At 43.6% G+C, this 24,345-nt stretch overlaps 1 protein-coding gene and 1 long non-coding RNA gene across 32 annotated transcripts in view, besides 3 other annotated features; one reads left to right on the top strand and one right to left on the bottom strand.

The window, feature by feature from the left end:
- The window catches only part of IGF2BP2 (insulin like growth factor 2 mRNA binding protein 2), a 181,913-nt gene that overhangs the window by 95,248 nt on the left and 62,320 nt on the right, over positions 1-24,345 (top strand). The gene's annotated exons all lie outside the window — the stretch shown is intronic.
- IGF2BP2-AS1 (IGF2BP2 antisense RNA 1) lies at positions 8-16,543 on the bottom strand. Its single transcript, NR_126326.1, has 8 exons — positions 16,307-16,543; positions 13,211-13,354; positions 7,262-7,676; positions 5,191-5,362; positions 4,721-4,857; positions 1,210-1,336; positions 925-1,108; positions 8-122 (listed from the first exon to the last, which is right to left on the bottom strand). It is a non-coding gene; the product is annotated as an IGF2BP2 antisense RNA 1 (long non-coding RNA).
- Positions 341-1,192: an enhancer, noted in NCBI's record as "H3K27ac-H3K4me1 hESC enhancer chr3:185446391-185447242 (GRCh37/hg19 assembly coordinates)". NCBI's record gives its function as "activates a minimal SCP1, AML or CMV promoter by ChIP-STARR-seq in primed H9 embryonic stem cells {active_cell/tissue: H9 hESC(primed)}" and the evidence as "EXISTENCE:reporter gene assay evidence [ECO:0000049][PMID:30033119]".
- Positions 1,193-2,044: an enhancer, noted in NCBI's record as "H3K27ac-H3K4me1 hESC enhancer chr3:185445539-185446390 (GRCh37/hg19 assembly coordinates)". NCBI's record gives its function as "activates a minimal SCP1, AML or CMV promoter by ChIP-STARR-seq in naive and primed H9 embryonic stem cells {active_cell/tissue: H9 hESC(naive and primed)}" and the evidence as "EXISTENCE:reporter gene assay evidence [ECO:0000049][PMID:30033119]".
- Positions 4,381-4,881: an enhancer, noted in NCBI's record as "H3K4me1 hESC enhancer chr3:185442702-185443202 (GRCh37/hg19 assembly coordinates)". NCBI's record gives its function as "activates a minimal SCP1, AML or CMV promoter by ChIP-STARR-seq in primed H9 embryonic stem cells {active_cell/tissue: H9 hESC(primed)}" and the evidence as "EXISTENCE:reporter gene assay evidence [ECO:0000049][PMID:30033119]".

Below are 24,345 nucleotides of genomic sequence, written 5' to 3'. Positions count from 1 at the left end.
AGATATGTAATTGGCAAAGAGTATTTTAATAGCCTTTTCAGATAATTATGGATATTCTTCTTTGATACTACAACAAAATTTGACAAGCAGTAGTTTCTTAAAGGTTAGTTGCCATGTAGTATCTGAAAGCATATGAACGTTAATATTCTGTTACATTAAAATTTTTTACTAATGCAGGGTTTTGTAGCATTATACATTAGTCATTTGGAAAATATTGAGTCACTGGGTTATTCAGATCTTCCGGATGTTGATGTTGCACCATACAATACCAAAAAATTACATTCATCACTATCATGACGAGTATTGGGAAGCTGCAAGCTCATAATAGTAAATAAAAGTATTCCAAAATTCTAGTTCTTAAGAGGTCAAATTTTATCATTGGCAACAAATACTGTGAGTTGTTTTATTTGCAGTGACAGGCGGACTTTATTCATTTCAAGAAAAATGTGTGAGAGCTACCCAGATCTGAATGGTCATCACTGTCTGTCTGTTCTGTCAAGTACAAATGACATACCCAGGAAGAAAGTGGCCATTTCAGCTCCCAATTCAAATGATCACACAGTTGCCTTTCCTGAGACATCTTACTTCAGGATGCAGCAATAGTGTTTTCTGCATACTTTCCATTTTGTCACACCAAATATTTTAAAAGATCTGCATTCCAGGGTCAAAATTTTTGTGGAAAAAAAAAAAGCAGTAATCTTTACTGCTTTGTCAAGGACAGTTTTAAGTGAAGCTGGCTTTCCCTCCTCCACTAAGAGTACACAACAGTGAGCGTACGACTTGGTGCAGTGTGGAGCCACTGCCTTCATGCAGCCTCAGGCACTGGCAGTTTTACCCGCCATTGCTTTTGCACCATGAGTGAAAATACTAACACGATAAACAAGGCAAATAACATCTTGGTATGATTAGGAAAATGGGTTTTACCTAATAACCCCTGAAAGGGTCTTGAGGATTCCAAGGGTGTGCAGGTCACGCTTTGAGAACTCGTGGCGTAGTGGTTAAGAGCATGACTCGGGGTTTTGATTGCCTGCGTTTGAATCCTGCTCCTGCTGCTTATGAGCTGTGAGCCTTTGGGAGGTTATTGGACCTTTTCGTGACTGTGTACTCTCTGTAAAATGGATGTCATAATAGTACCTACCTCACTAAGCAAATCTGTTCAATAGTTAAACCATAAATATTAATTAGTATTTTGAAAATTATAAGACTCACCTAGTTTTTTGATTTTGTGATTGGCTGGTTGATGGGCTGGGGAAATGGCCAAAGCCCTGCTTGCCTTGAAGCTGTCTCCTCTGTCAGTCTTCCAGGATGAATGAGACGTCCACCATTGTCATTTTACCTTTATGGTGGTAAAGTACATGTTAACTGAGTTAAAAAACAAAAACACAAAAAGCCCATATCCTAGAAGGGTAACATGTGAGTGAGCGACTTAACAGGGATTGGTGAATCTGGTTAACCTACCAACTCTTGCCACCCGAGTCAAGGCGCTGATGGGCTGGAGGAGCGGAGAGCGCCTGATGAAGGGAGCAAGGGGAAGGGGCCCAGGAGCAGCAAGGGTCTGGCGCCGTGGGAAAGCTGGAAGGCAGTGTGAGAGTGTGGATCAGAGGGCGCTCTAGGGTGGGGTAAAGCGGGCAGCAGTAACTTTGCCTCTCATAGGCTGGGGTTGGTCCTGGTCAATTCTTTATTTTGTGTGAATCGCAAACATAGTTCAGGTATACGTAACGGAAGTGCCCCTCCCTATGCATTCTCCAGCTGTAGGGTACAGTCATCTCCGGGGCATTATAGTAAATCTCATTAGTTCAGACCTGATTAATGTTGAACTCACGACTGTTGAGATGTAGGTAGTGCAGTATACAGAAAAGAACAAGAGCTCTGGAATGAGGCATGTCAGGGCTGGAATCCTGGCTCCATCATAGACTAGCTGCATGGCCTTGGGTAAAAGATTTATCCTTTCTAAGTCTCTGTTTAGTCTGTGTAAAATGGGCTGCCAGTATCTCATGAGGGGATTCTAAATATTGAGAGGGCATATGATAGACATTCAGTAAATGCCTCTTGCCTTCCCTGTGCCAACTTTGTTTATCCTCCACTCCATCTAATTTATAATATTCAAACAGTGTCATGATTGCATTTTTAGTTTTATTAAGAAATTGAATTTTTAGGAAAAAAGTAAATATAGGAAGAGGAAGGATTATGATGCTACTGCTTCTCCAGGGATTTCAAGTAAAGTCTTTTTCACAAAACCATTACTCTTCCTCTTCACTGTTTCTGGGGCCCCCTGAGGTGTTCTCATCCACAGCACTACCTTTTTGTTCACCTGTTCAACCTGTGAGTAATCCAATTACTGTTCTGTCTTTGAGGCCAAGAGCCTCAGTCCAAGCCAGCCATGTTCATGCTGTGTCTGCCCCAAGTGAGGAGGCTAAGGCTGGTGCATAGCCCGCTCTGTGAGGCCCCTCCCCACAGCCTCTGGATCTGCCCAGACTAACCTTCCGGAGGGCTCTGCGTCTCCCTTGCTGTTCTTAACGATCTCCATTGCTCCTGTGATTTCTTTTTCTTTTTCTTTTACTTTTTTTTTTTTTTTTTGAGACGGAGTCTCTCTCTGTCGCCCAGGCTGGAGTTCAGTGGCATGATCTCAGCTCACTGCAACCTCTGCCTCCCAGGTTCAAGCGATTCTCCTGCCTCAGCCTCCTGAGTAGCTGGGATTACAGGTGCCTGCCACCACACCCAGCTAGTTTTGTATTTTTAGTAGAGATGGGGTTTCACGATGTTGGCCAGGCTGGTTTCAAACTCCTGACCTCCGGTGATCCACCCGCCTTGGCCTCCCAAAGTGCTGGGATTACAGGCGTGAGCCACCGTGCTCGGCCTCCTGTAATTTCTTCTGTTGTTTCCAGAATCTGGCTGGCTGCACCTTTTTTTCCCACAACCCCCTTGGTAAGTTTCAGAGAACCTTGTGGTCATTAATGTATCTATTTTCACAGCCTCCCCAGAAACAAGCCTCTTCTGTATTACAGATCAAAGAACCTGTTACTGACACAAAAGGAATCTAGCCAACTGGACTTCCCCACACAGAAGGCAGGCCCTGTTCTAATCTTGCCTTGGCTTTTGACTTGCTGTGTGGCCTTTGTTTCCTCATCCAACGATAATATCTACCTCCCAGGAATGCTGGAGAGTTCAGCAAATGTTAAGAACTGTTCTCTGAAGGCTGAAAGATAGGTATTGGGTCTATTACAATGGCAGAGAACTCAAAGCACTTTATAGGAATCTAATTTGTGTTTTATCTTTGTGAGGTAGATAAGTGGCAGGTGTTCCTGTGCCCACTTTATACCTTTAGGAATGTGCATTTCACCATCTCATTTTAGCAGTTCCTACTGCTTCCCGCTTCCAGACCCACAGGAAATTTCCATCTGAATGGAGACTGAAAACATTCTGATGTGTACCCAGCAGGGTTTGTAATTTCATTCATTCCCCAGTTTGTGTGTCTTGTTTCATTTTTGGTCAGGGATGGAGAGGCCCTCCTCTGACCGTGGGTCCATTCCTCCTCTGACCCTGGGTCCATTCCTTATTACCTGTTGGGTTCCAGTCCCTTTTCTCAATCTTTCTTCTCTTTCACCTCTCTGTAGCATTTGGCACTAATGATGATCGCACCTTTCCAAAACTTGTTCGTGAAATTATACTCTCAGAATTCTGCATCTGTGACTGGCTAACCCTGGTCCCGCTCACCTGTTCTCCTAAATACAGGCATGATCTGAGAGGTGATCTCATCCATTTTCAAGGTTTTAACCAACACCAGTGTTCAGCTTCTAGTCCTGGATTAAGTAATTAATTTATTAATTTATTTTTTGACAGTTTCACCCTGATGTGCAGGCTGTAGTGCAGTGGCATGTTCATGGCTTACTGTAGCTTCAACTTCCTGGGCTCAGGTGATCCTCAGCCTCCCAAGTAACTGGGACTACAAGCACACATGCCCGACTAATTTTTTAAAAAAATTTTTATAGAGATTGGGGTCTCAATATGTTGCCAAGGCTGGTCTAGAACTCCTGGCCTCAAGCAGTCCTCCTGCTTTGGCCTCCCAAAGTGTTGGGATTACGGATGTGAGTCACCACAGCCAGCCTAGTCCTGAATTTGTAACTTCTCATTTGATACTTCTTAGATTATACTGACATCATGCAAATTCCATGTATTTAGAATGGAATTTACCTCCTCTCCTCTACCCCGACTATCCACCAGAAAAAAACAATATTAGTCCCTTCTGGATGAACCTAATTATGTCAAGTTCCGCTAGTAGTTCAAACCTTGGTGTCATTTGAAGTTCTTTCTTTTTGTCGACCCCCCACATCTAATTTGTGACCTTTAACACCCTCCACCTGCCCTAATATTCAGGTTTGCATCACATAGTATCAGTGCTCTCCTACTGAGTCCCCTGCCGACAACCTCAGCCCACTGCAATCAGGTTAGCCTTCTGGAAGCGTACATCTTGCTTTTTCACCACTTTCAAACCTTTCCATGGCCATCTGTTGCCTTAAAACAATTATATTGATTATCTGTTGCTATGTAACAAACCCAAACAAAGTGGCATAAAATAACCACCATATTATCAGACTCACAGATTCTGTGGGTCAGGAATTTGGAAAGGGTACAGTGGGATGGTTTGTCTTGGCCCTGTTATGTCTGAGGCCTCTGCTGGGAATATTCAAAAGCTGGGGTGAATTGACATCTAAAGGCTTACTTGTTCACATCCTTGGCGATTTGATGCGGCCTGTCAGCTGGGACCTCAGCTGGGGCTGTTGGCTGGAACAGTGGCCTCTCCATGTGTTGCTTGCTCTTCCTCACAGCATGGTGGCTGGCTTCCAAGAGCAAGCATTCCTAAGAAAGGCATGCTATGATCTGGTTTCAGCAGTCACAAACTATCACTGTCACCATGTTCAGAAGCATGACTATCAAGGGGGAGGAAATACAGAATTCCGTCTTTCAATGGGAGGAGTGTCAAAGTCACACCATAAGGAAAGCATATAGGCAAGATTCTGATGCATTCCTTTTTGGGAAATACAATGCACCAAACAAAGTCCAGACTGTGATATGGGGATTCCTTTAAAATCTGGCCTACCTTGCCTTTTAATTAGAACACTAGAACACTGTCACTCACAGAACCCTTCCTAGTGCCAGGTGCCATGTTGAAAGCAACTTCTGCATTCTTACCTGATCTAACAATTCTGAGAGTTTAGATGAAGGAGCTGAATCAGGAAAGTTAAAGCAACTTCGCTAAGGGTCATTCAGTTAATAAGTAGCTGGGTGGGCTTTGAACTCGGAACCTTTGACTCCAGTCTGAACTTCTGGGCTATATCGTCTCCACCTCTACCAGGGCAAAAACCTAGGTGCAGGGAGAGAGGGAAAAAAGGGATAGCAGTTATAAAACCTATTAGGAATTAGTTGTAATTTAGACTCTGACCTCCCCACTTGTCTAGTTGCAGTCCTAGAAAGCTTACAACTCAACAGAAACAAGACTGTTGTTGGCTGATTGATAGATCAAGCTACCTTAGTCTTCAGACCACATGTCGCTCCAGTGGACAAGAAGAGCCCAGGGAATGATCTCAGTGACTGTGTCTGCCTCTTCAGATCTTAGCCGGGCAATTTTGCTCACGTGCTGTCTGGAAGGCTCTCTTCTTCTGGTTCTCTCCTTATCTGTTCATTCCTGCCTGGGTCCTGGTGCCACTTAGGACTTTTTGGCCCAAGCATGTGTTTGCTGTGACCGCATGCTCATTGCAGCCCCACGTAGAGTTACCGAAATTTGTCTCTGCATAGTCTGGCGCTGGATTTGTCTCCTTCGGCTTCCCTGGGATTGCCCAGACCGAACCTGCTTACCCGCTTCGGTTGCCTCCCAACTTTGCTCGATGGTGTTTTCTCTGCAGGATCACTGTCTTTTGTCCTCTTCTTTACTTGGATGATGCCTACTTTTCCTTCTGGTTCCTACACCCTCCCTCAAGGCTAGGTATAGCCTTTCCTCTGAGCTCCCATCGTATGCTGTCTGTTCTTCTGGAATGATTTCACCCCATTCCATACTCACCTGTTGTTTAGTTCCATGGGACCCTCACTAGCCTGGGAGCTCCAGTAAGGAAGAAACTGTGTGTCATACACAAGTTTGGAGCTCTCAGCGCCTGTTCAGAGCTAGACATCAAAAACACTCGGTCCTCCTGAGGGGCTTGGCCCAGTGCTGGAACACCTGTGCTAGTTCCTGTCTGTTAATGGATTGACTGGGGTGGATGCCACCAACAGAGACACTGGGGTGGGAAGAAGGTTCAGGGATCTGGAGACTCAGAAGATGTGGCTTCTCATCCTAAATACTGTTGTTTGCCTTTGAACAAATCACTTCTCTGGGATGCAGCATCCTTGTTTATGAAGTGAAGGGATTGGCCTAACCATCTTCCCAGCCCTAATACCCTGTGAAAATGACTTTATCTGATAAGCTTTTGACTGTAGGCTGCTGTGGACCCAAGCAGTGAGTTCTAAGTATTGGAAATATGATCATTTCCAAGGGATAGAAATCAATATCATGATTTCCAAGGGATAGAAACTTAGCTGTTTGCGTAATTTTGATTGTGCCCCTAATGTGGAGCTGTGGCCGACTGGATTTGATGGAATCATAAACATGTTCACAAACCTTTCCCACTTCCCACATAAACCTCAGCAGATCTCAATTCTGAAGACGTAAAAGTCTCTGTTGATTTGTATTGGTTCTCTCCAGCTTAGCCAACGAGAAACGTTTCAACAGTTTTCAACTCTTATTTAGCAAAGGCAGAACAAAATGACATACCCCTTTGGGAACAAAACAAAGCATGTTTTTATGGCCAAGAGTTTTCTCTATATTAAAATGAAGGCTGATTTTGAAAACACTCTATCATAGTGGGTTCTTGTAACTCAATTATAATTACATAATTATGTATCATTTGTGCATTTATATGTTTATAGCACATATATATGTGTACTGTGTATATGTATATGTGTGTTTGTGTATTTGTTTATATAATTATAAAACTATATAAAAACATAGCATCAGGCCAGAGTTCTCTACCCGCCAGCCCTGACGTAGAAAGGGCTGTTCCTACAGTTTTCCAGTGAGCTGTGAGCAGCTGAGGTGTCATTTCCCAGAGTCTCTGTGTAACCTCCACCAGATTGATTTTTCTTAGTTTGATTATCCCAGGTCTGGATCCTACAAGCCTCTCATTTTACCTTCCCTGTTTCCACCTTCCCACCTTCCCACCATATCACTTACTTCCAAGCTCACTGTACCGCCTCCAGAAAGCACAAAATGACATAAAATTGAAAACTTAAATCCATCAATACTGCTCCTCATAAAAGTTCATCTCCCAGTTGGCTGGTGGAGGAAGTAGAAGGCAATGCTGTAGTAAAGCGTGATTCAGTTCTTGTTGCAGTTTCTTCCTTACTTTTTGAAAATAACCCATGAAGCTGAATTACTCTCATCTTATATCTCTCTGCAGTGGCATATCCTGATGGTGATTTCCTCTTTTTGTGCCTCAGTTTCACCCCCTATGGAATGGGGATAAACACTTGCGGCTGGGCATGGTGGCATGTGCCTGTAGTCCCAGCACTTTGGGAGGCTGAAGTGGGAAGATTGCTTGAGGCCAGGAATTTGAGACCAGCCTGGGCAACATAGTGAGACACTCTCTCTACAAAAAAAAAAAAGAAAAAAAAAATCAGATGTGGTTGGTGCATGCTACTTAGGCGACTAAGGCAGGAAGATCCCGTGATCTTATATCAATAAAATTAAAAAAAAAAACAAGTACTTGCCACCTGAAAGTTTCTAAGAACTGCCAAGGATGCTGGTTAGTGATAAGTGAATGGTTGGTAAATAGAAGACATATCTGCCACCCAGAAGAAAAGCACCTCATAAACAGAAAACACTGCCCTGACTTGCTGAAAGAGACTTCTTTTCAAGCAGAAAAAGCCAGGAAGAAAGCCAACATTGCTGAAGTTTACCCAGGCCGTGTTAGCCCTGATGTCAAAGGAACTCACTAGGTGGGCTGGTTCATGACTTTTCAGATGAGAGTGAGGGAGGTGGTAGACAGAGAAGAGGAAGACAGGTACATGAGAGACCTACTTGAGGCTTAGACTGATAAACAGTGTTTTATTAGTCTGGAGGAAACCAGCATGAAAGTACAGTTTTTAGACAAAGACTTGATTTCCAATTAAATACATAATTCACTTGCTGAGATGAGGAGGTAGCAAAATTAAAAGTTTTAACCATTAAAAAGAGAAAAGAAAAAAAACTGCTTGAAAGAAGAGTGGGCCTGGTGCAGTGGCTATGCCTGTAATCCCAGCACTTTGGGAGGCCGAGGCGGGCGGATCACTTGAGGTCAGGAGTTCGAGAGCAGCCTGGCCAACATGGTAAAACCCCGTCTCTACTAGAAATACAAAAATTAGCTGGGCATTGTGGTGGGTACCTGTAATCTCAGCTACTCGGGAGGCTGAGGCACGAGAATTGTTTGAGGCAGAGGTTGCAGTGAGCTGAGATTGCACCACTGCACTCCAGCCTGGGTGACAGATCGAGACACCATCTCACAAAAAACAAATAATAATAATAATAAACAAAAACAAAAAAAGAAGAAGAAGAGTATGAGCCTCTCCTTCATGTGTGTCATTCATTAATTGGTTAAAATCCACACACTAATTTTTTGTTCCTTTAATTAAGACGCCTGGGGCTTCTTACTCTATTGACAGTACACAGGAGGTGGCATTTATGAGTGCTTCCTGACATCTGCCCACTCACATGTGTGCAAGCGTGTGCACACACAACTTGTAGGCATCCAGATGTCTTTTCTGTCTTTCCTTTGACCACATTACCCTTGAAGGACGTTTCCCTGTGTCTGCTGCACTGTAATGGAGTTGACTGTTTTCGACTACCTTCTCACACAGCAGTTACTGTCTGGTTTCAGAATTTCTTACTGATTATGTAAAGCATAATGACACCAGCCCTCACATGCAGCTCAAGGAGAACAGCTCTGGACCTCAGTTTCCTAATCTGCAAAATGAGTTTCTTCCAAAGCCTGAAGCTGAGGTTCTTCTTTGAAGAATGTCAGCTGTAAGATCTGCCTCTGAATAACTGGGTGAGTGGAGTGGGTTCAGCAGCATGCCTTCGTAGTGGCCTGTCAGTGTCCTTAGATATCACAACAGACCAACATCCAGTTAAGAGCTGCTACAAGCAACAAGCTTCATTTCCAGTGCTGTGCTAGAGGGCTCCCCTGGCTCACCAGAGCCAATTGTGTGCATCCTTTCCAATTTCCGTTTTGGTGATATCATGTTAGTAGCTTTAAATAGGCTTTGGGGGCCGGGCGCGGTGGCTCCCAAAGGGGCCGGGCGCAGTTGTGGTGAGTCGAGATCGCACCATTACACTCCAGCCTGGGCAGCAAGAGCAACACTCCATCTAAAAAATAAATTAATTAATTAATTAAATAAAATAAATAGGCTTTGGTGAGAGTATTTACACCACAGAAATTGGCAAAAACTACAGATTGCTTTATCTCCCCCTGCAAGAGCCGTTTTTTAAATATTTACCAGCATAGCACTGGATATATCTGTTATTCTAGTGCTCTCACTTAGCTGGTAGCCCTTTCTTATAGACCACGGCCAGAGACTGAAGACTCCTGGAAGGCAGGGCACAGGTTCAATGCACTGCTTTACGCTCAGTGCCCACAAGCTCCTTGTTGATGGAAGGTTGCCTGGGGGAGAATATTTTCCCACTTTCCGGGGGATTTCACTTTAGAAGGGACAGTCACAATTGTACATCTGCAGCTGTTTCCACACCAGAGTTTGAGTTTGTATTTATTCATGGCCCTTGGATTCAGTGTGGCTTGCTTTTCTCATTTGAGTTTGTTTCTATCAAGGCTCACTTCTTTATACTCCAACTTTTCTTCCTTCCTTCCTTTCCTTCCTTTCCTTCCTTCCTTTCTTTTTTGAGACAGAGTCTCGCTCTGTCACCCAGGCTGGAGTGCAGTGGCGTGATCTCGGCTCACTGCAACCTCCACCTCCCAGGTTCAAGTGATTCTCTTGCCTCAGCCTTCCAAGAAGCTGAGATTACAGGTGTGCACCACCACGTCCAGCTAATTTTTGTACTTTTAGTAGAGACAGGGTTTCGCCACGTTGGCCAGGCTGGTCTGGAACTCCTGACCTCAGGTGATCCACCTGCCTCGGCCTCCCAAAGTGCTGGGATTACGGGCGTGAGCCACCACACCCAGCCTGTACTCCAATATTCACTCCCCAGTCAACACTCCTGGTCATTTTCCAAGCTCATCCCTGCCTTTTTTCTGCTTAACTCCTAGGAATGTTCATGCAAATAAGATGAAGCACATGAAGGAAGAGCTCTGCGTAGGGGTGTTTGAGCCTGTTGCTGCAGCAGATTGCTAGTGACAGCCATCTTGTTAGCACCTTTATTCTAGCAAATCCAATCTGTTTTGTCTTTCATACTACTGTTCATCAAAGATATGCAGTGTCTTACAGTTTTGTAGAGCTTTGTCATGCCCCACTATCCTTATCTCACAAATAACTGGAATCACAAATGACTGCCCTGTGCAAATCCCTGCAGTGATCTCCCATAGCCTACTGTATCAGTGCAAACTCTTCACCTTATTAAATAAGGCCTCTGCAGTTATCCCCACTTAGTATTCATCTGTCTCTCCATTAGATGTACCCTATTTTCTCTTGTCCAAACACAGTCTGTTTCTTCCTCTGTCTGCTTCCTCTCCCCACCCAAGGTCATCTCTGACCATCATAGTCCTACCGCGGTCCACACTGAATAACACCTGGCAAGGCATGATTTGGGTCTGTGGCTTCCCAAGAATGTGGTCCTGTAAGCTGTAAGGAGCAGCTTCTTGGGAAGGTCTGGGAAGCCCAGAATAGCCCATCAAAATGGTGGTTCTTGACTCCAAAAGATACAGGATCTTACCTTGGTGTCACTTCTGCGCTGTGTTCATCCTCTCAGTTTCTCAGGTTTTGATCGTGGCTTTGCTCTTCCCTGCTTCCATTTTCCACTCAGATTTAACCCTACCCATCTGCCAGTTCCAGGAGGGAGTTTCTGACTTTCTTTTTTTTTTTTTTTTTTTTTTTTGAGACAGAGTCTCGCTCTGTTGTCCAGGCTGGAGTGCGGTGGTGTGATCTCAGCTCACCACAACCTCCACCTCCTGGGTTCAAGCGATTCTCCTGCCTCAGCCTCCTGAGTAGCTGAGACCATAGGCACGTGCCACCACGCCTGGCTAATTTTTTGTATTTTTAGTAGAGAGGATTTCACTATGTTAGCCACGATGGTCTCAATCTCCTGACCTCGTGATCTGCCCGCCTCGGCCTCCCAAAGTGCTGGAATTACAGGCGCGAGCCACCGCCCCCGAGCCTGACTTGCTTTCTGATAGAGTTACTGCTTTAGCCCTGGAACCACATCCCACTACTCCCTTGGTCTTAATCTTCTCAGCTTCACTATCTGCCCCACTAGTCCAAGGTTCAGCACATTTTTTCTGTACAGGGCCAGATTACAGATATATTAGGCCCTGTGGCCCATATGGTTTGTGTCACAACTACCCAGCGCTGCCAATGCAGCATGAAAAAAGCTGTGTACAATAGGGAAACAAATTGGGTGTTTTGATAAAACTTTATTTACAGAAACAGGCTTTAGGCTGGATGTAGCGCAGGGGCCGTAGTTTGCCCAGCCCTGCCCTAGTCAGATGCCTATTAATGTGCACTCCTGACACCGGTTCATGTAACTGGTTGCCAGCCTGAATATTTGATGTTCGTTAGTACAGCCCATGCAAGAGATCATGTCTGGGACATGCCCAGCTGGGAATGCACAGTGCAAAGCTGTCAGTGAAGTGAACAGAATATGCCATTCCTGTTCATTCTCACTTCCTTCCCTCCTTCTCCGCATCCCAAGACTGGGGTTTTTAGCCTTATAAACTCTCAGTGGTACCTACTTCCCACCTGGTGGACTTTCCTCATTAGTGCAGCCTGGGACATAGATGTGTCTACTTGTCCTCTGTTGAATCCAGGTGCGTTTGTGTCACCTCCTGCATTTGTGTACTGCACCATTTATTTGCCCCTTAGACAATTAATTTTGTATCGTTTCAAAGCTCGCTCTCCAGCTCCTGTGGGCCTGCTGTTTCACAGTCTTTCTCTTGGAACTCTTGTTTGCTGTAGATGTTTTTACAAGTTCTTAGCCATGGGCTTCTTTTCTTCTAGCCTTTACAAACCTTTTTTCTTGGCTCACAGATTACAGTCGCTCTATCTCTGACATTGAACAAAGATTTCTAAAACTTGAGTCCTATTCTCAGAGTAAACCACTCACAGCACAGAAATTCTTCCTTCAAAGGTTTTTTTTTGCTTGGACAGCTCAGTTCTTGCATCATATCTATGGGAGGAAGAGGCATCTGTTCTGTCCTGGAGGGAAGTCAGCAGGCAGGACTGAAGAACTCTCAGCACTGAGGAGAATCTTAGGAAGAGGCCATCTGGCCCCAGAGAAGTGAAATACATGCCAGAGTCACGTATCTGGGTGGTGGCCATGTGCCCGTTGGTCCTGATGCCCACTCTTTCTGTTTGTGGCCTCCCAATAAATAGACCGGGGTGCCCAGCCCTCAGGAAACCAGTCTCTCTCAGAGCTCCACGGCTGCCAAAGGCCTGCAAGAAGCCTGGTCAGAGACAGAGAGGACCCTTTACATTCAGATGATCTGAAATGACCAACATGAGCTGAATTGAGAGGCCCAGTTCCATGGGCATAAGGGCAGCCACTCCTGCTGTCTGTTCACTTGTTTATAGTCATCCATTGAGCATGTACAGTACTGGGTGGTGGGATGAGAAAATCACAGAAGGCGGAGTCTGGCTGGGCAGCAGAGATGTAAACAGAGCGTTACAACAGGATGTGATAAATTCCACGAACAAGCCACCAGGTAAGGGCTGTCGGAGCTCTGATCCAGGCTGCGTAGCCTCTCTTTGGCCCCTCAGTTAAGGTGAAATGTTAACCAGGCATGACCTGGAAATGAAGGATGTCCTCCCACTTCCATTCTGATGACCAGCCAGCGCTGACAGGGTTGGCTTCCTCCATGCACCACCATGGCCCTGAGTAAATACACTCTCCTTAACCAGATCAGGGAGCCCAAGACAGCTGAGGGCTGGTGCTGTGCTTCCCTACCTGCCCCCGAAGAAAAGTAGGAGGTAAATTCCTTACTGAGGACGTGAGTCTGGTGGCCAGCCCAGCAGTCTTGGCATCTGAGGAGGGCTACAGGATAAAGCAGCCCACTTCCCCAAAAGCTGTTCTTTTTATTGTTAGCAGAGACATAAGAAGAGACCTCTGAGATTTTCTTTGTTTCTGCTGAATATGGAAAGAGGGAGGGGAAAGAAAAGAGGGATATTCTGTTTTAACACAGAGCATATTTATAAGATTGTATTGTAGACCAAAAGGCAAATCAGTTACGTCAGTGTTTATTGGATAAATGCTGCAGAAAATATCATTAAAAGAATTCCAAAAATATGCTGGGCAGAGGAATCATTGTCGGAATAAGTAAATACTTTTCTAAGAGCATTACTTTGATGGAGGCCTTATTCGTGTGTACTAAAAAAATAAAAGTTCTGGTGTTTTTTTTTTTAATCATGTTATTCAATCATACCCTCTACTAACCTAAAACATTCCTAATATATTTAATGGATCTATTTGTTATGCTTTCAAGAAGTGTGCTAAATACCTGTTAAAAACAGAAGAGTATTAGAATAGTAATTGTGGAGATGCTTTTATTTTGAGATAAAGAGGCATTTAATTTGTTGGTTAAGTGGACCTGGCAGCCACATGTCAAAAAGAAGTGAGGAATCAGGCTGGGCGTGGTGGCTCACAGCTATAATCCCAGCACTTTGGGAGGCTGAGGCAGGTGGATCACCTGAGGTCAGGAGTTCAAGACCAGCCTGGCCAACATGGCAAAACCCCGTCTCTACTAAAAATACAAAAAAATTAGCTGGGTGTGGTGACGGGTGCTGGTAATCCCAGCTACTTGGGAGGTTAAGGCAGGGGAATCTCTTGAACCTGGAAGGTGGAGGTTGCAGTGAGCCGAGACCATGCCATTGCACTCCAGCCTGGGCAACAAGAATGAAACTCCATCTCAAAAAAAAAGAAAGAAAGAAAGAAAAAAAGAAATGACGTATCATCAGAAGACTGTCCTGATGGTGGGATATAGACAGCCACAGAACAGGGTCGAATTACACTTGCACCGCACATTTCAGAGCTGTAGAGTTCTCTTTTCTGAGGATGAAAAGTCAATAAGAAGAAAATATCTTCTGAGAAGAAAGTTAGTGCTGCTGGCTGTGCTTACCTGCCTCCCGGTGTTTACCTGGCGTGTACTGACTCTGTGTGGGGCGTGATGATTCGTGTCTGAGTCTTGGTGAAAGGTTTATCACCCTCGTGGTTTAACTCAGGAAATAGGAAGTCTTTGCCATGGGTTCTTGCCAGCCTGTCCAGCCTGCTCTCTTGCCTTTCCTTGGAAGCATTCTCTGCTCCTCTCAAATCAGAGGACTTGAGATTCCTCAAATTCCTGTTCTGGCTGCCATGCCTTTGTGTGCCTCATTCCCTTAGAATATCTTTCCCGACCCCTCTATGCTCTCACTTTTCCCATTGGCGTATTCTGCCTTCCATTCCTCAGAGCGTTGCTAAGGTGTTGCCTCCCCCTGGTTCCTTGCCAGGTTTCCCCTCCTGTCTGTCTTGCCCCTCAGGCACCCTCCATCATGGTGCAGGCTTGTCCCTTGGCAGTGCGGCATGTGAGGTGCACTCCCTGCCCACTAGCCTCCTGGTTGGGAGCAGGTGGTTCATGCTGTCTTTCTGGTATCTAACATAGTAAATGCTTGGTAAGGGTCTGTGGAATAAGTGAAATGAAATTAAGAAAGCCAATAGTCACCTGCCTGAATACTGAGAAAAAGCAAGGAAGAATTCTGTGAAGTTTCCCAGAGTGAATGGGATGGGATAGGTTGGTTGCTTTGCTTTTTGATAGGGATGGAGTCTTGCTACGTTGCCTAGGCTGGGCTCAAACTTCTGGGCTCAAGCAATCCTCTCGACTTGGCCTCCCAAAGTGCTGGGATTAGAGGTGTGAGCCACTGCACCTAACCATAGGTTCTTTAATATATGAAAAATGATCACCCTCATTTGTAATTAAAATGCAAACAAGATAGTATTTTTCACCTATGGATGGGCAGAAATCAAAAGTTTGATAGCTCCATGTTTTCAGCTCCCATGTTTCAGATACATGGGGAAATCAGCATTGCACTGTGTGTTGATGTTACAAATGCACAGCCCAATAACTGTTCCACTTTTAGGATTTCACTTCTAGGAGTTTATCTTCCAAGATATGCTCACACGTGCAAAGTGAGATGGATGGATGGATGGATAGCTAGATGATAGATGAATAGATATTCATTGCAGCATTTACTTACTTTTTGGAAACAGCAAAAGATTAGAAACATCTTGTGTCCATCAGTAGAAGACCAGTTTAATTATGGTACATTCATAAAACTGAATATTATACAGCTGTCAAAAAGAATAATACTACCCTATACTAAGTGAAAAAATGCATATACAGAGCATTAATGTTTGTGTTTGGGTAAAAAAAAAAAGGAATGTATTCATATATGCTTATGTATAGACTACACGGGAAGGATTTTTAAAAAATGAGTAATGGGACCTGGAGGACTGAAGTATAGATGTAGAAGAGAGAATTTTTCTATTCTATTCTTTGGTACATTTTGAATTTTGTGCAAAGAATATACAGTACTTGGGCTAGACGTGGTGGCTCACGCCTGTAATCCCAGCACTTTGGGAGGCCAAGATGGGCGGATCACCTGAGGTCAGGAGTTCAAGACCAGCCTGGCCAACATGGTGAAACCCCATCTCTACTAAAAACACAAAAATTAGCCGGGTGTGGTGGTGGGTGCCTGTAATCCCAGCTACTCAGGAGGCTGAGGCAGGAGAATCACTTGAACCCAGGAGGTGGAGGTTTCAGTGAGCTGAGATTGCGCCACTGCACTCCAGCCTGGGCAACAGAGCAGGAGTCCATCTCAAAAGAAAATGAAAAAGAGTATGTAGCACTTACTTCTAAAATATAAATTTATTTCAAATATACCAGTTGAGTGGTAGATATAGCTGTTCAGATTTGCTGAGATCCACAGAATCGCAATGTTAAAAATAACGAGAAAGAGCTCCATGTGAAATAAACAATTTTCATTCTGATGTCTCACCAGCACTCCCCACTCCCCTCAAACCCCTGCCTTTGGAGTCTATCTTACTTACCTGTTACCTTGACCATTGGATCTGGAAAGGGCCTTAGACAGTTATCTAGTGGTGTTGCCATTAAACCAAGCCGCCCACTGCTGCTTTTCCAATAAATGTGCCATGCCTTAAGTTTTCCTCACCTGCTGCTAAAGCATATTATTTTAAAAATGTGAAAATGGGCTTTACAGAGCTGTTTAGATCAAAGTCGCAATAACAAGTGGAGTATCCCTATATTACTAATTAACCAACATCTGAGTTATGGGCCAGAGTTCTGTTTCTATGCAGTGAAAATGTGAACTTTGACCTGGTGGTTTATGACAGTGGTACAGTTCCTTGGGTGCAGTTCTGGTCTTCTCATTCACAGTATTACACCAAGACACACACACACACATATATGTCTCTTGCACACACACACACACACACACACACACATACATATCTGTAGGGCAGGCTATGCAACACCCTCTATTCTGTTCATAGTAAATTTCATGAAATAACCTTATACTTTCAAAATCTGGACACCAGATATTGTACAAGAGTATCCTGGCAGTAATGAAAGTGTAAGCGTAAAGCTTCCTGTTTTAGGAGAGGGAAGAAATGGGTAAATGGAGGCTGTAGGGTCATGACACAAGTAGAGTCACAAACCCATTGTTTTTTGATTTGTAAGCCATCCAATTATAAAATACAGTGGAGTTTGTCACCTAACTTATTTATTGGGATGTTAAAAATTGTGACCCAAACAAAATTCAAGATTTGTTGAGATTATTGTTTTTTTTTTTCCAAAATTCAGCATCTATTTGTAGCCTAAGGTCCATGTGGGATACCTCTTCTTTCTGCTCCTTACCTTCTCCTTGCAACAGTTCTGTTTTGCTGTCAAAATGAGGTAAATCATAGATTTAGAAAGAATCTTCTCTGTCTCATGGCTGAGGCATTAGAGAGGTTGAATGACTGACTCAGCATCGTGGTAGAGCTGGGATTCAAATTCGTATCTCCAGTTCCCACTTGGCATATCTCTCACTCTGCTTCTCTATTGTGTTGGAATAATGGCAGCCTTTGGTAACAATAAAATGTTTTATTAGGAGTGGGGAGAATTATGGTGTTAGAAAATCTAGGGAATATATTTAAAATTTGTATTTTTTCTTACGTCATTGTTCCCTAGGAAATCAAGGCTTTTTCTTTGCTTATAGACACTAGTAAATAAAAATGTTTGCATTTTCATAAGTATTTATGATTGATTATTGCAAATTTTACATTTCACACCAAGGAAAAAAGGTATTCTTAGTAAGTATGGTAATCAGGGTGCTATTAAATAAAAAATAAGCATAATCTGTTGGTTTGACAGTTGCACTTCTCAGCTTCTGAAACCATCCTGAACTAGGTCTTTAGCTGAATCTACAGGTGACTCTGTATAACTTTAATAGTTTCTCTCCTGATTCAGTGCTGGCTCCAGGTCATGCCTTCTAATTAGTTGCCAGATTCATTCACATTTCATGGGAAAACCAGGCACCAACTCTCCTGAGCACATCAGGACCAAAGCTGGGAAAGGGGAGTTTGGTGTTTGTAGAGTTTGCAGTTTGTGGAGTACTTTCTCATAATCCTGGGGCTTGATGAAAGCCAAGTGAGAGGAGAGGGCAGGAGCTTATCTACCATGGTGACTGGGACCCTGTGAACAGCAAAGGAGAGGGCACCTACTCAGCTCTCTTCCTTCTCTCAATCATGCTGCTAAGGACAAGGCTCTAGGCAAGGAAAGGTCCTGAAAGTAGGAGGCACTCCTGGGCTGCGTCCAGGGAAGGAAAAAGAGGTAGGAAAAGGAATTTGAAGCTGTGGTAGCGGGGACTGCCTGTGGCCACCTGCTGAGCCAGGTAGGTCGTTCACCGTTATTCACTTCAGGTATTGACTCCCATGTGCACCTCTCTGCTGGTGGGTCCTGCTGGAGCCTGCTCAGCTAATGGTGCTGTCTTGAGAGGAAGCGATGAAAACTCAGGAAGTGATGAAAACTCAGGAACCGAGACAGATGCTGTTCATTGTCTTTGTAGGACACAGAACTCAGAAGATAGTGTGAATCAGCCGCTGGAAGGAATTCTGTGTTTAAGCACCAGAGATGTTAACCCTGTCATGTTCATTCATTCATCAGGTTCACTGAGAGACTGCGGTGCACATGTCACTAGCCTAGAAGCTGTGGGTGTGCAGGGATAGGAATAGGATTTGCATAGTTCAGGAAAGATACAGGTCAGAAATCTTGGATTTCTATCAGCACCACTGGAACAATTATTTGTGCAAAAGTCTAGTCTCCCAAAATTGGTTATAAATCAAATTTGCATATTTAAAGTTATCTCTGCCCTAATTTTCCCCCTTTACAGAACTGATTCAAAGGGATCCTCAGATGAATCCTTGATAAGATGATAAGTTCTTTTAATAATAAGAATAATTTATATGCTCCTTTTCCCTAGTTTGTTCATCTGTTTTTAAAGTTGGCTATTCAAGGTTTTAAAAAGTAGTTTTTATTGTATTTAAATCACGTGACATTAGGTTTGAGAGCTAATAATATTCTTCAGCATTTTATGATGATGTTCACTGATTTGTTTTTCACTGTATCCTACGAAGTGGTTTTTTTTTTTATTGGTATTATGTAAGAAGCTATTTTTCTGGCTACCCTCACCTTGTTGATAAATAACTTTTCCTATAGCGTAAAAAATTTCCTTTTCCTCCTCCTCTCTGGAGCAAGTAACCAGAATCACTCGAGGTTTTTTGTTTTGTTCTTTTTTTTTTATTTTGAGACTGAGTCTCGCTCTATTGCCCAGGCTTGAGTGGAGTGGCGCGATCTTGGCTCACTGCAACCTCTGCCTCCTGGGTTCAAGGGATTCTTGTGCCTCAGCCTCCCAAGTAGCTGGGACTACAGGCGCCCTCCACCACGCCCAGCTAATTTTTGTATTTTTAGTAGAGACGGGGTTTCACCATGTTGGCCAGGCTGGTCTTGAATTCCTGATCTCAAGTGATCCGCCCGCCTCGGCCTCCCAAAGTGCTGGGAATACAGGCGTGAGCCATCGCTCCTGGCCAGTCTTTTTTTACTTTCTTCAGCATATCCCTTCCTGTAACAGAGGAAACTTCAGGGGCCAAGGGGCAGACTCTGCGTGTTGGGAAAAGCTGTTCTGACACCCTTCTGGGGCAATGGAGGTGTCCCATGCTGTTATGCACACAATACCTACCCCATCTTTAACTTGCCCACAGTCTGTGGAAACAGTGACTCTATGATACCATTTCCTAGCTGCTATTACATTATAAAGGTACTGTGCAGAAATAGGCATTTAAAGATATTAGGTTCACTTTTAGCAAAAAAAAAAAAAAAAAAAAAAATCTAAAACTACGAGCTAGGAAAAGGCAAGGAGTTGGATTGAGTAACCAACTCTAATTTTATTGTTTTATTGAAATTAAGTTCTCAGAATTGCTGAGATCAATATTGTCCTATTTTTGTTCTGTTCACTACTGTACCCCAACACCTAACATAAGTGCTTAGCCTATAATGGGTCCTTAGTAAACATTTATTGAATGAATTTGGAAAAGCTTTTAGTTTAATCTTAGAGATCATCCCATTCTCCAGAATCCAGGTGAAATGTCTGTTAACCTCCAGTCGAAAAATTTGGGTAGAGGGGGTTTGGATTGTTCATTCCACCTGACCCTCAGTTAGGTGAGATGGTGCTCTCTTGTGTGAAATGGGAGATACTCTTTGATTTACATGGAAAGAGGGAGGAGTTCCTCTTTGAGGGAGGAGCAAGTGATTTGGCCAACCCTCTCCTGTGTTTCCTGCTCTCTTGGTAGATTTAGGGCTATATTATAGATGAATTTAATTTTCCTTCATCACCATGACGATCATGAATAAGATCAACATCTGTTATAACTGGTGGGAATAGTTTCTTCTTTTCAGAAGTAAACTGCTGTCACTTTAACACTCATAAACTGGAAATGAAAGAAATTGGCTTGTTTGAAGACCAGTGTCTTTAGTAAGCACGTGTTCCTCTTACAGTCGAAAGACAGAATGTGGGATGGAGTGGGCCAGGAAAAAGAAGCCAGCGCCCAGCAGCAAGTGCCCCTGGGGAGCTTGCTGATTGCTGCGCACATGCTGTGCTCCAGACACTGCTTGGGCTGAAGAGGAAGGAAAAAACAGACACAGGTAGTAGGGGAGGAAGGAAAGGGACAGATTCAAGTGCTGTTTGGAGAACCAAAGAGAACAATTTTTTGGAAACTAATTGACAAGATGCTGAAAGGATGGCACAGTTGGTGTTTGGGCATGTGACCCTCTTGGCCTTTACAAAGATGGTTTTGTATTTACCATGTGCCACACAAAGCAAACATTTATATACTTGGATTATAACTTGTGTTGTATCATGTTTGTACATGTTATTTATCTGAGCTCAAATGATGATGTGTAAATATTTGTTTTTACCCTCGTTAGTCTTAATTACAGATAATGAGTTGAGGACCATGTAAGGGTGACTAATCACTTCTCTAAAAACACAATTTGGTTTTGTTAACCGGAATCTTCATCACAGCAGAATTAAAACATTAAGGAAAATGCTTTTGGTTTTTACTCTGTTTAGACCTTGAAAAACTGAAAGCAGGCATGCAGATGTTTGGCTCATAACAACTCAGCCTTACATCTCAAAGTCTCACCTTCCTGAATCCAAATGCATGTTTGTACTCAAGCACACGTGAATGTTCTTGCTCTTCTGAGGACTTTGTCTAGCTGTCTGGGATTCACTCTGCCCTTCCCTGTAGAGCAATCCATGCTTTGAGGAAGGTTCTCAAACTTGATCTGGCCCCATGAGGCTGGGCACTGCCCTGATTGGAGCCAGGGATAAGCAGATATTTCTTGTGTCACCATTCCACCCTCAGGCCCTTCCATGTATGTGCTGCACCCCGCCGTGCGCCAGGGGAGCCTGACCATCAACCAGAAGTCGGCTAATTCATGAAGGAGTTTACAGTTAATACCTTTATCACCCCTCTAAAGGGCATTTATATTTAAGTAAATCCTTTTGAGGAGCAAAGAGTGAGCTATCACAGTGAAGTTTCCAAAATAACCCTTCCTGGAGATGTTTTTGGTCAGTGACTCTACGTTGCGGTTGATGCTGAGAAGGAAAAGCTGGACATCCTTCCGAAGGCACGTTTTCTTAAGGTTTGCCAGTGGAGGGGGACATCTTGACCAAAATTCATTGAACTAAAATACATGCCTGAAATGTAAATTTTGTTTTTGGTGAATTAATAATTCCAGTGACATTTGAAGAGCAAAACTTTAAATATATAGAGACCACAAGTCAAAAATACCACTCCCTAACCATGATCCCTAACTGTGAGACTCAGACAAGGGACTCATCAGCTCCTCAGTGTATTTCTCTGAAAAATGGGAATAACAACACCTAGTTCAAAAGGGTAAGGCTTAAATGAGATACTTAGCATCCATGAATGTCAGTAGTAATGGTGATTTGGGAAAACCTTCATGCCAAACACGCTGTGAAGAATGTTTTGGGTTTACCTCAGAAACATTAGACTTCATCAAATAAAATAAATTGAGAAACGGGGAAAAGATAGTGTTCAGCGAAGCCCTTGGAGAAGTTCTAGTAAAACTTGAGCTAAAACTACGTTTCTTTCTCTACATTGCACAGAATGAGTTGAGGAGAGGGATGGTGGAAGGGAGAGATGGTATTATCGTAGGGAATTGTATACAAACCTTGATAAGGATAATCACCATTTTTTTGTGTTAGGGTTTTTGTTTTTGTTTGATTTCCGAAAGAGGTCCTTGACCCCCTCCTCCCAAAAAATTATCATGTTTCTTGGAATAATTATATAGATTTTTAGTCTTCCTTCAGTTCACATAGTTGAGCTATTCACCACTATTCCAGTAAAAGTAGGCTCTTCGGTGGCTCACGCCTGTAATCCCAGCACTTTGGGAAGCCAAGGAGGGTGGATCACAAAGTCAGGAGTTCGAGAACATCCTGGCCAACTTGGTGAAACCCCGTCTCTACTAAATATACAAAAATTAGCCGGGCATGGTAGTGGGCGCCTGTAGTCCCAGCTACTCAGGAGGCTGAGGCAGGAAAATAGCTTGAACCTGGGAGGCGGGAAGTTGTGATTAGCCAAGATTGCGCCAGTGCCCTCTAGCCTGGGTGACAGAGTGAGACTCCATCTCAAAAAAAAAAAAAAAAAAAAAAAAAAAAAAGCCCCTTCGTTACACACTGAATATAAATTTAAAAAAGCAGAATTTTAGATAGTGATGTCTTTTTTTTTTTTGAGATGGAGTTTCACTCTTGTTGCCAGGCTGGAGTGCAGTGATGCGATCTTGGCTCACCGCAGCCTCCACCTCCTGGGTTCAAGCAATTCTTCTGCCTCAGCCTCTCGAGTAACTGGGATTACAGGCGTGTGCCACCACATCTGACTAAGTGATGTCCTTTTTAAAGAACTAAAATACTGAATCTCTGGGCACAGTGGCTTATGCCTGTAATCCCAGCACCTTGGGAGACTGAGGCAGGTGTATCTCTTGAGCCCAAGAGTTTGAGATCAGCCTAGGCAACATGGAGAAACCCTGTCTCTAATAAAAATATAAAAATATAGCCAGGCGTGGTGGTGCGCTCCTGTCATCCCAGCTACTCGGGAGGCTGAGGTGGAAGAATCACCAGAGCCCAGGACACCAAGGCTGCAGTAAGCCAAGATCACACCATTGCACTCCAGCCTGGGTGACTGGAGTGAGACCTTGTCTCAAAAAAAAAAAAAAAAGAAGGAATCTCTGAGAAATCTGATAATCTATTTCACTAGAACAGTGCGTGATGGTTTCAATCTGTAAACAAGCATGCTAATTTCTTTTTAATGGGAAATGGTTTTAACCTTCCTGTTACAATTCTGTCCAAAAGATTTATAGAATCCTGAAGGTGGAATGAAACATAATGGTCATTTCATGCAAGTTCTACTCTAACCCAATAGAGGAATTCCTTCACCATCTTGTCCAAGAGTAACCGTCAAACCAGTCTTCTCACAGACATCTAAACATCATCTAATGATCCGTTGACTCACTGACTTTTCTCCTTCCACTTCTTTTTTATTTTTGCTAGAGAGAGAGGGTCTCACTCGGTACTCGGTTGCCCAGGCTTGAGTGCAGTGGCACAGTCACAGCTTTCAGCAGCCTTGACCTCCCAGGCTCAAGTGATCCTCACACCTCAGCCTCCCAAGTAGCTAGGACTACAGGCATGTGCTACCACACCTGGCTAATAATTAAAAAATGAATAGTATTATGGAATTATCCACCATCTCTTTTTGTAGAGATGAGGTCTTGCCATGTTGCCCAGGATGGTGCCAAACTCCTGGACTCAAGCCATCCTCCCACCTTGGCCTCCCCAAATGCTGGGATTACAAGTGTGAGCCACGACGTCCGGCTCCACTCCTTTCAACAGGAAACAATTAAGAATCTTTGATGGCTTCCTCAAAAGAGAAATCTAGAATTGTGTTAGGTCTTTTTGTGAGCTAGTAGGCTCTGAGAGGGCTGTGGGGAGATAAATGAATTAATCTCAGACTATTGCTTTTTGCTGTGGTCTAAAAGTTTGTGTCTCCCCCAAATTCTTATGTTGAAATCCTTACCCCCAAGGTGGTGATATTTAGGGGCCTTGGAGAGTTGATTAGATCATAAGGTGGAACCCTCATGAAGGGGATTAGTACCTCTATAAAATAGACCCCAGAGAGATATCTAGTCCTTCCTCCATCCAGAGACACAGCTAGACAGTGCCTTCTATGAGGAACAGACCCTCAGCAGACAGCAAATCTGCTGGTGCCTTGATCTTGGACTTCCCAGCCTCCAGAACTGTGAGAAATAAATTTCTGTTTATAACCTCAGTCTATGGAGTTTTGTTATAGTAGTCCAAACAGACCAAGATACATCATATTAAGTGATTTTTTTTTTTTCCTGTTTCATTCAAGCAGTGAACTTCCATGAGTTTCTGTCTCTGAATTGCCCAGGAAGCATGAGTTATGAGGGCTGTTCTGGGGCTTATGGTTTTGTGAACATGAGTTTATAGAGC

This window comes from Homo sapiens, chromosome 3, assembly GCF_000001405.40.
Source record: "Homo sapiens chromosome 3, GRCh38.p14 Primary Assembly".
NCBI lineage: Eukaryota > Metazoa > Chordata > Mammalia > Primates > Hominidae > Homo > Homo sapiens.
This window is presented reverse-complemented; position numbering and strand designations above follow the sequence as displayed.